General features: G+C 39.9%; 1 protein-coding gene across 9 annotated transcripts in view; it reads left to right on the top strand.

Annotated features, from left to right (window-relative positions):
• Positions 1 to 10959, top strand: part of MCM9 (minichromosome maintenance 9 homologous recombination repair factor) — a 121705-nt gene extending 110746 nt beyond the window's left edge. For all 9 annotated transcript variants that reach the window (NR_165493.1, NM_001378366.1, NM_001378364.1 and 6 more), the window contains one exon: positions 8120 to 10959. Coding sequence is in view for 8 of the 9 variants with exons in the window: in NM_001378364.1 (NP_001365293.1) it covers positions 8120 to 9590 (1471 nt within the window). In the remaining variant the exon portion in view is untranslated. The remainder of the gene's footprint in view (positions 1 to 8119) is intronic.

Below are 13071 nucleotides of genomic sequence, written 5' to 3'. Positions count from 1 at the left end.
TTGCCTGAACCCAAGAGGTGGAGGTTGCAGTGAGCCAAGATTGAGTGAAACTCCATCTGAAAAAAAAAGAAAGACTAAAATAATAGGGCTTAGTCTACCCTAACTTATTCTCATCTTTTAGGAGATTTTTGCAGAACTTTAACAATTATCAGTATCCCTGACCTCAATTTGATGCTGAAAAGTATGCTAGGTAGTAGTAATTTTGAAAGCTATTTGCTTTTTTGTTTGGTTGTAACTCAAATTAGTAAAAATGAACATGGGTTTGCCCCGGGGGGCAGAGGTTTCAGTGAGCCGTGATCGTGCCACTGCACTCCAGCCTGGGTGACAGAGAGAGACTCTGTCTAAAAAAAAAAAAAAAAAAAAAAAAAAAAAAAAAAAGGTGGGTTTGCTTATTGATATTTTCAAACCTACTGTGAATGAATGTAACCCAATATGTTTACAATAATTTTGGGGGCTTTTTTTCTGATTATAAAGGTAATGCATGTTTTTATTTTGTATTTTTAAAAGTAGCAGTGATGAATTAATTAGAAAACAAAAAAATCACATGTAGTCTTATTTCCCAGAGATATATACCATTAACATTTTAATGTATTTAAATATATTTAAATATAAGGTATTTCCTTATATTTTCTATGATTATACATGAATTTTAGAATAACTTACTCATCTGCTTTCTGGTATAATATCTTTTCAAAGTAAGCACGTAGAAGAGGGATCATATTGTACTTTATAAGAAAAAGGCATTTCTAGGTTGTCAGGAAAGGCTTTCTAAAGGACCTACTTCTAGGGAACTACAATCCTTATTAGGAAGTCATCCTCCCTCATGACCAAAGGGAAATTTGAAATGAAAATATGAGATCTGGCAAGATGGCCAAATAGGAACAGCTGTGGTCTGCAGCTCCCAGCAAGACCAATGCAGAAGGCAGGTGATTTCTGCGTTTCCAGCTGAGGTACCCAGTTCATCGCATTGGGACTACTGGTTAGGCAGTGGGTGCAGCCCACAGAAGGTGAGCAGAAGCAGGGTGGGGCATCACCTCACCCTGGACTTACAAGGACCCGGAGGACTTCCCTCCCCCAGCCAAGGAAAGCAGTGAGGGACTGTGCTACCTGGCCTGGATACTACGCTTTTCCCATGGTTTTTGCAATCCACGGATCAGAAGATTCCCTCATGAGCCTACACCACCAGGGCCCTGGGTTTCAAGCACAAAACTGGGTGGCAATTTGGGCAGACACTGAGCTAGCTTCAGGAGTTTTTTTTCATACCCCAGTGGCACCTGGAACCCCAGCGAGACAGAACCATTCACTCCCCTGGAAAGGGGGCTGATGGCAGGGAGCTGAATGGTCTCAGTGGGTCCCACTCCCATGGAGTCTAGCAAGCCAAGAACCACTGGCTTGAAATTCTTGCTGCCAGCACACCATTCTGAAGTCGACTTGGGATGATCGAGCTTGTAGGGGGAGGAGTGTCCCCCGTTACTGAGGCTTGAGTAGGCGGTTTTCCTCTGACAGTGCTAAGGAGGCCAGGAGGTTTGGACTGGGTGGAATCCACCACAGTGTGGCGAATTGGCTGTGGCCAGATACCTTCTCTAGATTCCTCTTCACTGGGCAGGGCATCTCTGAAAGAAAGGAGCCCCAGTCAGGGGCTTGCAGATAAAACTCCCTGGGACAGAGCACCTGGGGGAAGGGGAAGCTGTGGGTGTTGCTTCAGCAGACTAAAACTTTCCTGCCTGCCAGCTCTGAAGAGAGCAGCTGATCCTAACTAGGAGGATTCTAGCAGCACACTCTGCTAAGGGACAGACTGCTTCCTCAGGTTGGTCCCTGACCCCTGTGCCTCCTGACTGAGAGAGACCACCCAGCAGGGTTCAGCAGACACTTCATGTAGGAGAGCTCTGCTGGCATCAGGCTGGTGCCCCTCTGGGACAAAGCTTCCAGAGGAAGGAGCAGGCAGCAATCTTTGCTGTTCTGCACCCTCCACTGGTGATACCCCAGGCAAACAGGGTCTGGAGTGGACCTCTAGCAAACTGCAGCAGACTTGTGGAAGAGGGGCCTATTAGAAGAAAAACTAGCAAACAGAAAGCAAAAACAACAACATCAACAAAAAGGGCCCCCACACAAAAACCCCATCCTAAGGTCATCAGCTCAAAGATCAAAGGTAGATAAATGCACGAAGATGAGGAAAAACCAGCACAAAAATGCTGAAAATTCCAAAAACCAGAATGCCTCTTCAAATGATTGCAACTCCTCTCCAGCAAGGGCACAAAACTGGACAGAGAATGAGATTGACGAATTGACAGAAGTAGGCTTCAGAAGGTGGGTAATAACAAACTCCTCCAAGCTAAAGGAGCATGTTCTAACCCAATGCAAGGAAGCTAAGAACCTTGATAAAAGATTACAGGAACTGCTAACTGGAATAACCAGTTTAGAAAGAAGCGTAAATTACCTGATGGAGCTGAAAAACACAGCACGAGAACTTCATGAAGCATACACAAGTATCAGTACTCAAATCAATCAAGCGTGAGAAAGGATATCAGAGATTGAAGATCAACTTACTGAAATAAGGCATGAAGATGAGATTAGGAAAAGAAAAAAGAATGAAAAGGAATGAATAAAACCTCCAAGAAATATGGGACTGTGTGAAAAGACCATACCTAAGATTGATTGGTATACCTGAAAATGATGGGGAGAATGGAACCAAGTTGGAAAACACACTTGGATATTTTCCAGGAGAACTTCCCCAACTTAGCAAGACAAGCCAACATTCAAATTCAGGAAATACAGAGAACACCACTAAGATACTCTTCGAGAAGGGCAACTCCAAGACATATACTCATCTGATTCACCAAGGTTGAAATGAAGGAAAAAATGTTAAGGGCAGCCAGAGAGAAAGGTCAGGTTACCTACAAAGGGAAGCCCATCAGACTAACCGCAGATCTCTCGGCAGAAACCCTACAAGCCAGAAGACAGTGGGGGCCAATATTCAAAATTCTTAAAAAGAATTTTCAACCCAGAATTTCACATCCAGCCAAACTAAGCTTCATAAGTGAAGGAGAAATAAAATCCTTTACAGACATGCAAATGCTGAAATATTTTGTAACCAGCAGGCCTGCCTTACAAGAGCTCCTGAAGGAAGCACTAAATATGGAAAGGAAAAACTGGTACCAGCCACTACAAAAACATACCAAATTGTAAAGACCGTTGATGCTATGAAGAAACTGCATCAACTAATGTGCAAATTGACCAGATAGCATCATGATAACAGGATCAACTTCATACATAACAATATTAACCTTAAATGTAAATGGGCTAAATGCTCCAATTAAAAGACACAGACTGGCAAATTGGATAAAGAGTCAAGACCCATCAGTGTGCTGTATTCAGGAGACCCATCTCACGAGCAAATACACACATAGGCTCAAAATAAAGGAATGGAGGAATATTTACCAAGCAAATGGAAAGCAAAAAAAAAGCAGGGGTTGCAATCCTAGTCTCTGATGAAACAGACTTTAAACCAACAAAGATCAAAAAAGACAAAGAAGGGTACTACATAATGGTAAAGGGATCAATGCAACAAGAAGAGCTAACTATCCTAAATATATATGCACCCAATACAGGAGCACCCAGATTCATAAAAGAAGTCCTTAGAGACCTTCAAAGAAACTTAGACTCCCACACAATAATAGTGGGAGACTTTAACTCCCCACTGTCAGTATTAGATAGATCCATGAGGCAGAAAATTTACAAGGATATTCAGGACTTGAACTCAGCTGTAGACAAAGTGGACCTAATAGACATCTACAGAACTCTCTACCCCAAATGAACAGAATATACATTCTTCTCAGCACCACATAGCACTTATTCTAAAATTGACCACAGAATTGGAAGTAAAACACTCCTCAGGAAATGCAAAAGATTGGAAATCATCACAAACAGTTTCTCAGACCACAGTGCAATCAAATTAGAACTCAGGATTAAGAAACTCACTCAAAACTGCACAACTACATGGAAACTGAACAGCCTGCTCCCAAATGACTACTGGGTAAATAATGAAATTAAGGCAGAAATAAATAAGTTCTTTGAAACCAATGAAAACAAAGACAAAACATACCAGAATCTCTGGGACACAGCTAAAGCAGTGTTCAGAGGGAAATTTATAGCACTAAACGCCCTCAGGAGAAAGAGGGAAAGAACTAAAATTGACACCCTAACATCACAATTAAAAGAACTAGAGAAGCAAGAACAAACAAATTCAAAAGCTAGCAGAAGACAAGAAATAACTAAGATCAGAGCAGAACTGAAGGAGATAGAGACACGAAAAACCCTTCAAAAAATCAGTGAATCCAGGAGCTGGTTTTTTGAAAAGATTAACAAAATAGATAGACCGCTAGCCATACTAATGAAGCAGAAAAGAGAGAAGAATCAAATAGACACAATAAAAAAATGATAAAGGGGATACCACAACTGATCCCACAGAAATACAAACTACCATTAGAGAATACTGTAAACAACTCTATGCAGATAAGTTAGAAAATCTAGAAGAAATGGATAAATTTCTGGACACATAAACCCTCCCAAGACTAAACCAGGAAGAAGTTGAATCCCTGAATATACCAATAACAAGTTCTGAAAGTGAGGCAGTAATTAATAGCCTACCAACCAAAAAAAGTCCAGGACCAGACAGATTCACAGCCAAATTCTACCAGAGGTACAAAGAGGAGCTGGTATCATTCCTTCTGAAACTATTTCAAACAATAGAAAAAGAGGGACTCCCCACTAAGTCATTTTATGAGGCCAGCATCATCCTGATTCCAAAACCTGGCAGAGAGACAATAAAAAAAGAAAATTTCGGGCCAGTATCCCTGATGAACATTGATGTGAAAATCCTCAATAAAATACTGGCAAACTGAATACAGCAGCACATCAAAAAGCTTATCCACCATGTTCAAGTCAGCTTCATCTCTGGGATGCAAGGCTGGTTCAACATACACAAATCAACAAACGTAATCCATCACATAAACAGAACCAGTGACAAAAACCACATGATTATCTCAATAGATGCAGAAAATGCCTTCAATAAAATTCAACACCCCTTCGTGCTAAAAACTCTCAATAAGCTAGGTGTTGATGGAAAGTATCTCAAAATAATAAGAGCTATTTATGACAAACCTACAGCCAATATCATACTGAATGGGCAAAAGCTGGAAGCATTCCCCTTGAAAACTGGCACAAGACAAGGATGCCCTCTCTCACCACTCCTAGTCAACATAGTATTGGAAGTTCTGGCCAGAGCAATCAGGCAAGAGAAAGAAATAAAGGATATTCATATAGGAAGAGAGGAAGCTAAATTGTCTCTGTTTGCAGATGACATGATTGTATATTTAGAAAACCCCATCATCTCACCCCAAAACTCCTTAAGCTGATAAACAACTTCAGCAAAGTTTCAAGATACAAAATCAATGTGCACCAATCACAAGCATTTCTATACACCAATAATAGAGAGCTGAATCATCAGTGAACTTCCATTCACAATTGCTACAAAGAAAATAAAATACCTAGGAATACAACTTACATGGGATGTGAAAGACCTCTTCAAGGAGAACTACAAACCACTGCTCAAGGAAATAAGAGAGGATACAAACAAATGGAAAAACATTCCATGCTCATGGATAGGGTGAATCAATATTGTGAAAATAGCTGTACTGCTTAAAGTAATTTATAGATTCAATGCTATTCCCATCAAGCTACCGTTGACTTTCTTCACAGAACTAGGAAAAACTACTTTAAATTTCATATGGAACCAAAATAGAGCCGGTATAGCCATGATAATCCTAAGCAAAAAGAACAAAGCTGGAGGCATCACGCTACCTGACTTCAAACTATACTGCAGGCTACAGTAACCAAAACAGCATGGTGCTGGTACCAAAACAGATATATAGACCAATGAAACAGAACAGAGGCCTCAGAAATAACACCACACATCTACAACCATCTGATCTTCCACAGACCTCACAAAAATAAGCAAGGGGGAAAGGATTCCCTATTTAATAAATGATGCTGGGAAAACTGGTTAGCCATATGCAGAAAACAGAAACTGGACCTGCTCCTTACACCTTATACAAAAATTAACTCAAGTTGGATTAAAGACTTGAATTTTAAACCTAAAACCATAAAAACCCTAGAAGAAAACCTAGGCAGTACCATTCAGGACATAGGCATGGGCAAAGACTTCATGACTAAAATACCAAAAGCAATTGCAACAAAAGCTAAAATTGACAAATGGGATCTAATCAAACCAAAGAGCTTCAGCTCAGCCAAATAAACTATCATCAGAGTGAACAGGCAACTTATAGAATGTGAGAAAATTTTTACAATCTATCCATCTGACAAAGGGCTAATATCCAGAATCTACAAGGAACTTAAAAAAATATACAAGAAAAAAAGCCATCAAAACTGGGTGAAGGATATGAACAGACACTTCCCAAAAGAAGACATTCATGCAGCCAACAAACATGAAAAAAAGCTCATCATCACTGGTCATTAAAGAAATGCAAATCAAAACCACAATGAGATACCATCTTACACCAGTTAGAATGGTGATCATTAGAAAGTCAGGAAACAACAGATGGTGGCTAGGCTGTGGAGAAATAGGAATGCTTCTACGTTGTTGGTGGGAGTGTAAATTAGTTCAGCCATTGTGGAAGACAGTGTGGCGATTCCTCAAGGATCTAGAACCAGAAATACCATTTGAACCAGCAATCCCATTACTGAGTATACACCCAAAGGATTATAAATCATTCTACTGTAAAGACACATGCACACGTATGTTTATTGCAGCTCTATTTACAATAGCAAAGACTGGGAACCATCCCAAGTGCCCATCAATGATACACTGGATAAAGAAAATGTGGCACATATACACCATGGAGTACTATGCAGACATAAAAAAGGATGAGTTCATATCCTTTGCAGGGACATGGATGAAGCTGGAAACCATCATTCTCAGCAAACTAACACAGGAACAGAAAACCAAACACCACATGTTCTCACTCATAAGTGGGAATTGAACAATGAGAACACATGGACACAGGGAGGAGAATGTCACACACTGGGGCCTTTTGGGGGGTGGGGTACAAGGGGAGGGAGAGCATTAGGACAAATACCTAATGCGTGTGGGGCTTAAAACCTAAATGATGGGTTGATAGGTGCAGCAAACCACCATGGCACATGTATACCTATGTAACAAACCTGCATGTTCTGCAAATGTATCCCAGAACTTAAAGTAAAAAAAAACAAGAAAGTTGTCCTTCTGGCAATATTTCAGTTTCTAATATGCCCAAGATATTTAAAATGATTTAAAATCATTTAAAATGATTATCACTGAACAGATCTTTCATTCGTAGAAAGTAAATAGATTTTAATTCTGTATCAAATTGATAAAAGAGTAGCTGCCCAGTAAATATGTTTAAACATGCCTGGGCTTTGCAGGAAAGATTGTCACAGTTGCCTGGGGAGGTCTGCCATGAATGGGAGTACAGGAGGCGGCAGTGTGAGCACCAGTACAGAAGTATCACAGACTCTTGACTCCTGAGGAAGGTGACTGCTCAGATGCACTCAGTACCTCAACTGGGTAAAGAGATGTGAGACCTCATAATCCCCAGTCTTTCACTTTGGTTCCTTGATCTGCAAACTGACTACTAAGCAAGTTAGCCAACAACCTACTTGGTCAGCAATCAGCTACTGTGTGGGTAGCAACAGGTCTGTCTTGTATTTGAACATTTAACATGAGAGATAAAGCTGAGGATTTTACACTGATCTTCAAACAATCTTAAATGAATGAATTGGACTTTTGGAGAGATCTAAAAATGTAGACAAATCTCCGATTTCATTTTCTTTATTTTACTACAATTTTAGGTTAAATTAGTGTTTATCTGAGTATGTAAATTGTATATTGATTTAAAAAAGGATTATTTCATTCTGCTGCTCTAGGAGGTTGTATTTGATATTAACTTGGAATTATGTGGGACTTAAATCTTTAAGATGGTATCTCAGAGACTAAAGAAATGAATAGGTTAGCACAAATTCTCTTCCCTTCAAGACATGTTTTATTTATTTGTCTTTGCTACAGGTTACAGAATCAGAGTGTGCACCAATCCCAACCACGGGTATTGGAGGTAGAGACTACTCCAGGATCCTTGAGAAATGGTCCAGGGGAAGAATCAAACTTCAGAACTTCATCACAGCAGGAAATCAACTATAGCACACATATCTTCTCTCCTGGAGGCAGCCCCGAGGGAAGCCCAGTTCTAGATCCCCCACCGCATCTGGAGCCTAATAGATCAACAAGTAGGAAACATTCAGCTCAGCACAAAAATAACAGAGATGACAGTTTAGATTGGTTTGATTTCATGGCAACTCATCAGAGTGAACCTAAAAACACTGTTGTTGTGTCTCCTCATCCCAAAACATCTGGAGAAAATATGGCTTCGAAGATCTCTAACAGCACATCTCAGGGTAAGGAGAAGAGTGAGCCAGGCCAAAGGAGCAAAGTGGACATTGGGTTGCTTCCATCACCAGGAGAGACAGGTGTTCCATGGAGGGCAGACAATGTGGAAAGTAACAAGAAAAAAAGGCTAGCACTAGATTCTGAAGCAGCAGTCTCTGCTGATAAACCAGACTCAGTACTGACTCATCATGTCCCCAGGAACCTGCAGAAGCTGTGCAAAGAGAGGGCCCAGAAGTTGTGCAGAAATAGCACCAGGGTGCCTGCACAGTGCACAGTCCCTTCCCATCCTCAGTCCACTCCTGTACATAGCCCAGACAGAATGCTGGACTCACCCAAAAGAAAGAGACCGAAATCCCTTGCGCAAGTGGAAGAGCCTGCAATTGAAAATGTTAAGCCTCCAGGTTCCCCTGTGGCCAAACTGGCAAAATTTACTTTCAAGCAGAAGTCAAAACTGATCCACTCCTTTGAAGATCACAGCCATGTGTCACCTGGTGCAACTAAAATAGCAGTTCATAGTCCTAAAATTTCCCAGCGTAGAACAAGAAGAGACGCAGCCTTGCCGGTGAAGCGTCCAGGAAAGTTAACATCTACCCCAGGAAACCAGATCTCCAGTCAGCCACAGGGTGAGACAAAGGAGGTGTCGCAGCAGCCACCAGAGAAACACGGACCAAGAGAGAAGGTGATGTGTGCCCCTGAGAAGAGGATTATTCAGCCTGAATTAGAGCTTGGGAACGAGACTGGGTGTGCTCATCTTACTTGTGAGGGAGACAAAAAGGAAGAGGTTTCAGGCAGTAATAAAAGCGGCAAGGTTCATGCCTGCACATTAGCCAGATTGGCAAACTTCTGCTTTACTCCCCCATCGGAATCCAAATCAAAATCCCCTCCTCCTGAAAGGAAGAACCGAGGTGAGAGAGGCCCAAGCTCCCCTCCTACAACCACAGCTCCAATGCGTGTCAGTAAAAGGAAATCTTTTCAGCTCCGTGGGTCCACCGAGAAACTGATTGTTTCCAAAGAATCCCTCTTCACTTTACCAGAACTAGGTGATGAAGCATTTGATTGTGACTGGGATGAAGAGATGAGAAAAAAGTCATAGTTGGGAAAAGCTTTCTGGTCAAATCTCACCTTCTTCAACTCCACAGAGGACCTTCAGGATATCAATATGGTATTTATAAATGTATAGAACAATTGGCCATATTGAGGATCACTCTGAATACTGGCTCCCCCTTAAGGCTTTCTAATTTCAGGTTAATCTTCATGACTTAAAAAGTTGTATAATCAGTTGAGGTCAGTGTGATACCAGCAGCTGAGCTGAATTAATTATGTTGTGCTTAATTTTACAAATGGAGTACTTGTATTCCTGTTCCTGAAGCTGTTTCTGTTTTTTGTTTTGTTTTGTTTTTAAGGGGGAGAGGTTCTTCCCTAGATTAATTTCTTCTTTCATTCACTCAGGAACAAATGTCAAGAAGGTAGCACTCATAAATCTAACAAGGCAGATGAACTCTTTTCTACTTTTTTTTTTTTTTTTTGTATTTTCACCTGGAATGGGCTAAGTACAGTGAATATAATCACTTGGATGATTTGCCAAAATCAGACTATTTTTCTAGTATTATTTTTGTATTGATTTGTGTGGATCAGGTTAAATGTGACTAATGCTTTTCTTTCTTTGAGAGGTATCCTTACAATTCCATGATGTTCTTAGAGATCTGGCCACTGGTCAAACAGTACCTTTCTGAAGTACTGACCTTCTGAGTTGTCCTTTCTTTCTTGAGCCAACATTTTGTACTTCAGATTCTTTTTTCTCTTGGGGGCCTACCTTCAACCAAGTAAAATACTGTGATTAGAAGAAGAGAGAGTATGAGCCAGGCACAGTGACTCACTCCTGTAGTCCTAGCTACTCGGGGAGGCTGAGGCAGGATGATTGCTTAAGCCCAGGAGTTCGGGGTTACAGTGAGCTGTGGTCACACCACTGTATTCCAGCCTGGGTGACAGAGTGAGATCCTGTCTCTAAAAATAAAATAAATGAAGAAGAGAGACTATGTGGTAGTCTCAATCAAACATCATGTCTCATCTACCCAGCTGGTTAATATGGAAATGTGATTCCTACTAAGTTGTGATTCACTTGTCTTTAAAACCAAGGAAATTATATACTGTTTTTGGTCAGAATAGATAACCTCAAGCTTTGTCTTTCTATGTGCTTTTAAAATCACTTATTCCTTTGGATTCTAATAAGGGTTATTAGGATTCAGTAATTATGGACTTTCTCTTCTGAAGTGTGAATTTGTAAACTGATTGTTTAATTGTCAGAGGGACTTTTGGACATAGAATACTCAAAACTATATGTATTTTGTTTAATTTTCACTTCATTCAATTCACGCATTGAAAACAAATTTAGAAAATCCAATTTTTCTTAAGCATTTAAACGTTCTAAAATTCACTAATAAAATTTTCTGAAAAAATTTAAACTGTGAGTACAAATTTAGTGTGGCTGAGTCTTGAAATGATTGGCCATAATGAGTACCATTCTCTGAAGTTTGAAACACCTTAAACAGCTGATAAAAGACATATATAAACAATGATTATAAAATTTATTATTTCTGTACCTGTTTAATAATTTACCAGTATACTATGATTCTTAATATATTCCTAATCTTTCAGTTTTATTGCTTTCCTGGGTTTCAGTGTTCTTACCAGAACTAAAGGAAAAGGAATGGAAGTGGGTTTTTGACCAGCTGAATCTTGATCTGGGCGTGGTCTGATTATTTAGATGAGGATGACTCAAACCTAAGCCACAGTGTGGAGCTGACTTTTTTTAATGGTAAATTTTTAAGTCCATGTCTTATGAATTTTTGTCTTTGAAACTTGGTATCTTTTGCAGTAATTATGTATTAGGTTTTGCATGGCTGACAGTACCTAACCTATTGGCATGTCATTAGGGTATTTTGATCTGTTATGTTATTTAAAATATTTGTATTCTTTATTGGGACTTTTGGTTTTAGAGGTTTCATTTTTAGTAATGAGAGATTTAATTTTCATAGTTACCTTGTCTCTTTAGGACACTGAGTAATTCATATTTTAAATTACATGTTGAATTGTCTTTCTTCCTTGGTCATTGTGTATGACTGCCAATGCCACCTTCTACCTGGTTATAATTTGTGCCCACCATGCATCCTATTATTTTGTGCTAATCAATCCACTTTCCATTTTAGTACCTTCTGTCAAGATTTGGCCAAATTACCACTTCCATATGTTTATTCTTTGGTACTTACCCAGATAGAAATAACTACATACCTAAATATTTTAAACAGACATAATTATTAGAAGAAATAAAATACCCAATACATATTGAATATCCCTTATCTGAAATGGTTAGGCCTGGAAATGTTTTGGATTTTGGATTTTTTTGGATTTTGGAATATTTGCACTATACCTATACTTACTGGTTGAGCATCCCAAATCTGAAAATCCAAAATCCAGAATGCCCCAGTGAGCATTTCCTTTGAGCATCATGTCAGTACTCACAAAGTTTTGGATTTGGGATTTTTCGATTAGGGATATTCAACCTGTATAAACATCCTTCTTACTAAAATGTTAAACTTCTATCACAGACTGTTATGTGTTATAACTGCCTCATTGTGCTTATATTTAATGCTCAGTCTCACAGCTTGGTCAGAGTCCCTTTATGTTGACCTGAATGTCCTTTCATCATTCTGATGCTTCTATAAAAGCATCCATGCTATCCGAAAACAACAGGATGTTCCATACCCATTTTGATTTCTTCATGCTCCATGTCATGGAGTCAGCTATCCCCAAGGTACTCTGTTTCCTTTGAAGGTCAGTAGTGTTAGAGACCAAACTCTAGGCCTCAGGGTCACCTGTTCAGGAGAGTCACTAATGGGCAAAAGTTCTTCCACTGCTGTTGGGTCAAGTTTAGTAGGTTCAGAGCTGGAAAGTGTTTTGATGTCCTGAGGTCATGTTTTATCCTGCTGTGTCCTACTTTTGTTATAGACGTGATTTCATGATGACTAAAACTTTCTCTTGTATGGTCTTTAATGTGTGTATCAAGGAAGCACATGGATTGTCTTGGGGGAATATGAACAGTCTCACAGGTCACATTTCTGTTCAATAAAGAGAGGTGTAAAAAATAACCTTTGGCCGGGTGCGGTGGCTCACACCTGTAATCCCTGCAGTTTGGGAAGCTGAGGTGGGTGGATCACTTGAGGTAAGGAGTTCAAGACCAGTCTGGCCAACATGGTGAAACCCCGTCTCTACTAAAAATACAAAAATTAGCTGGGTGTGGTGGTAGGCGCCTGTAATCCCAGCTACTCGGGAGGCTGAGGCAGGAGAATCACTTGAACCTGGGAGGCGGAGGTTGCAGTGAGCCAAGATCATGCCACTGCACTCCAGCCTGGGTGACAGAGTAAGACCCTGTCTCACAAACAAACAAACAAAAAACCTTTAATTCTGAATCAAGTTGCCAAAATATTTTGATTTCAGTCCCAGTGTACTTCTTGAAAACATTTTAATAATGTAAAATTATCTAAACACAATAAAAACTATACTTAATTTTATCTGTG

This window comes from Homo sapiens, chromosome 6 (genome assembly GCF_000001405.40).
Source record: "Homo sapiens chromosome 6, GRCh38.p14 Primary Assembly".
Taxonomy (NCBI): Eukaryota; Metazoa; Chordata; class Mammalia; order Primates; family Hominidae; genus Homo; species Homo sapiens.
This window is presented reverse-complemented; position numbering and strand designations above follow the sequence as displayed.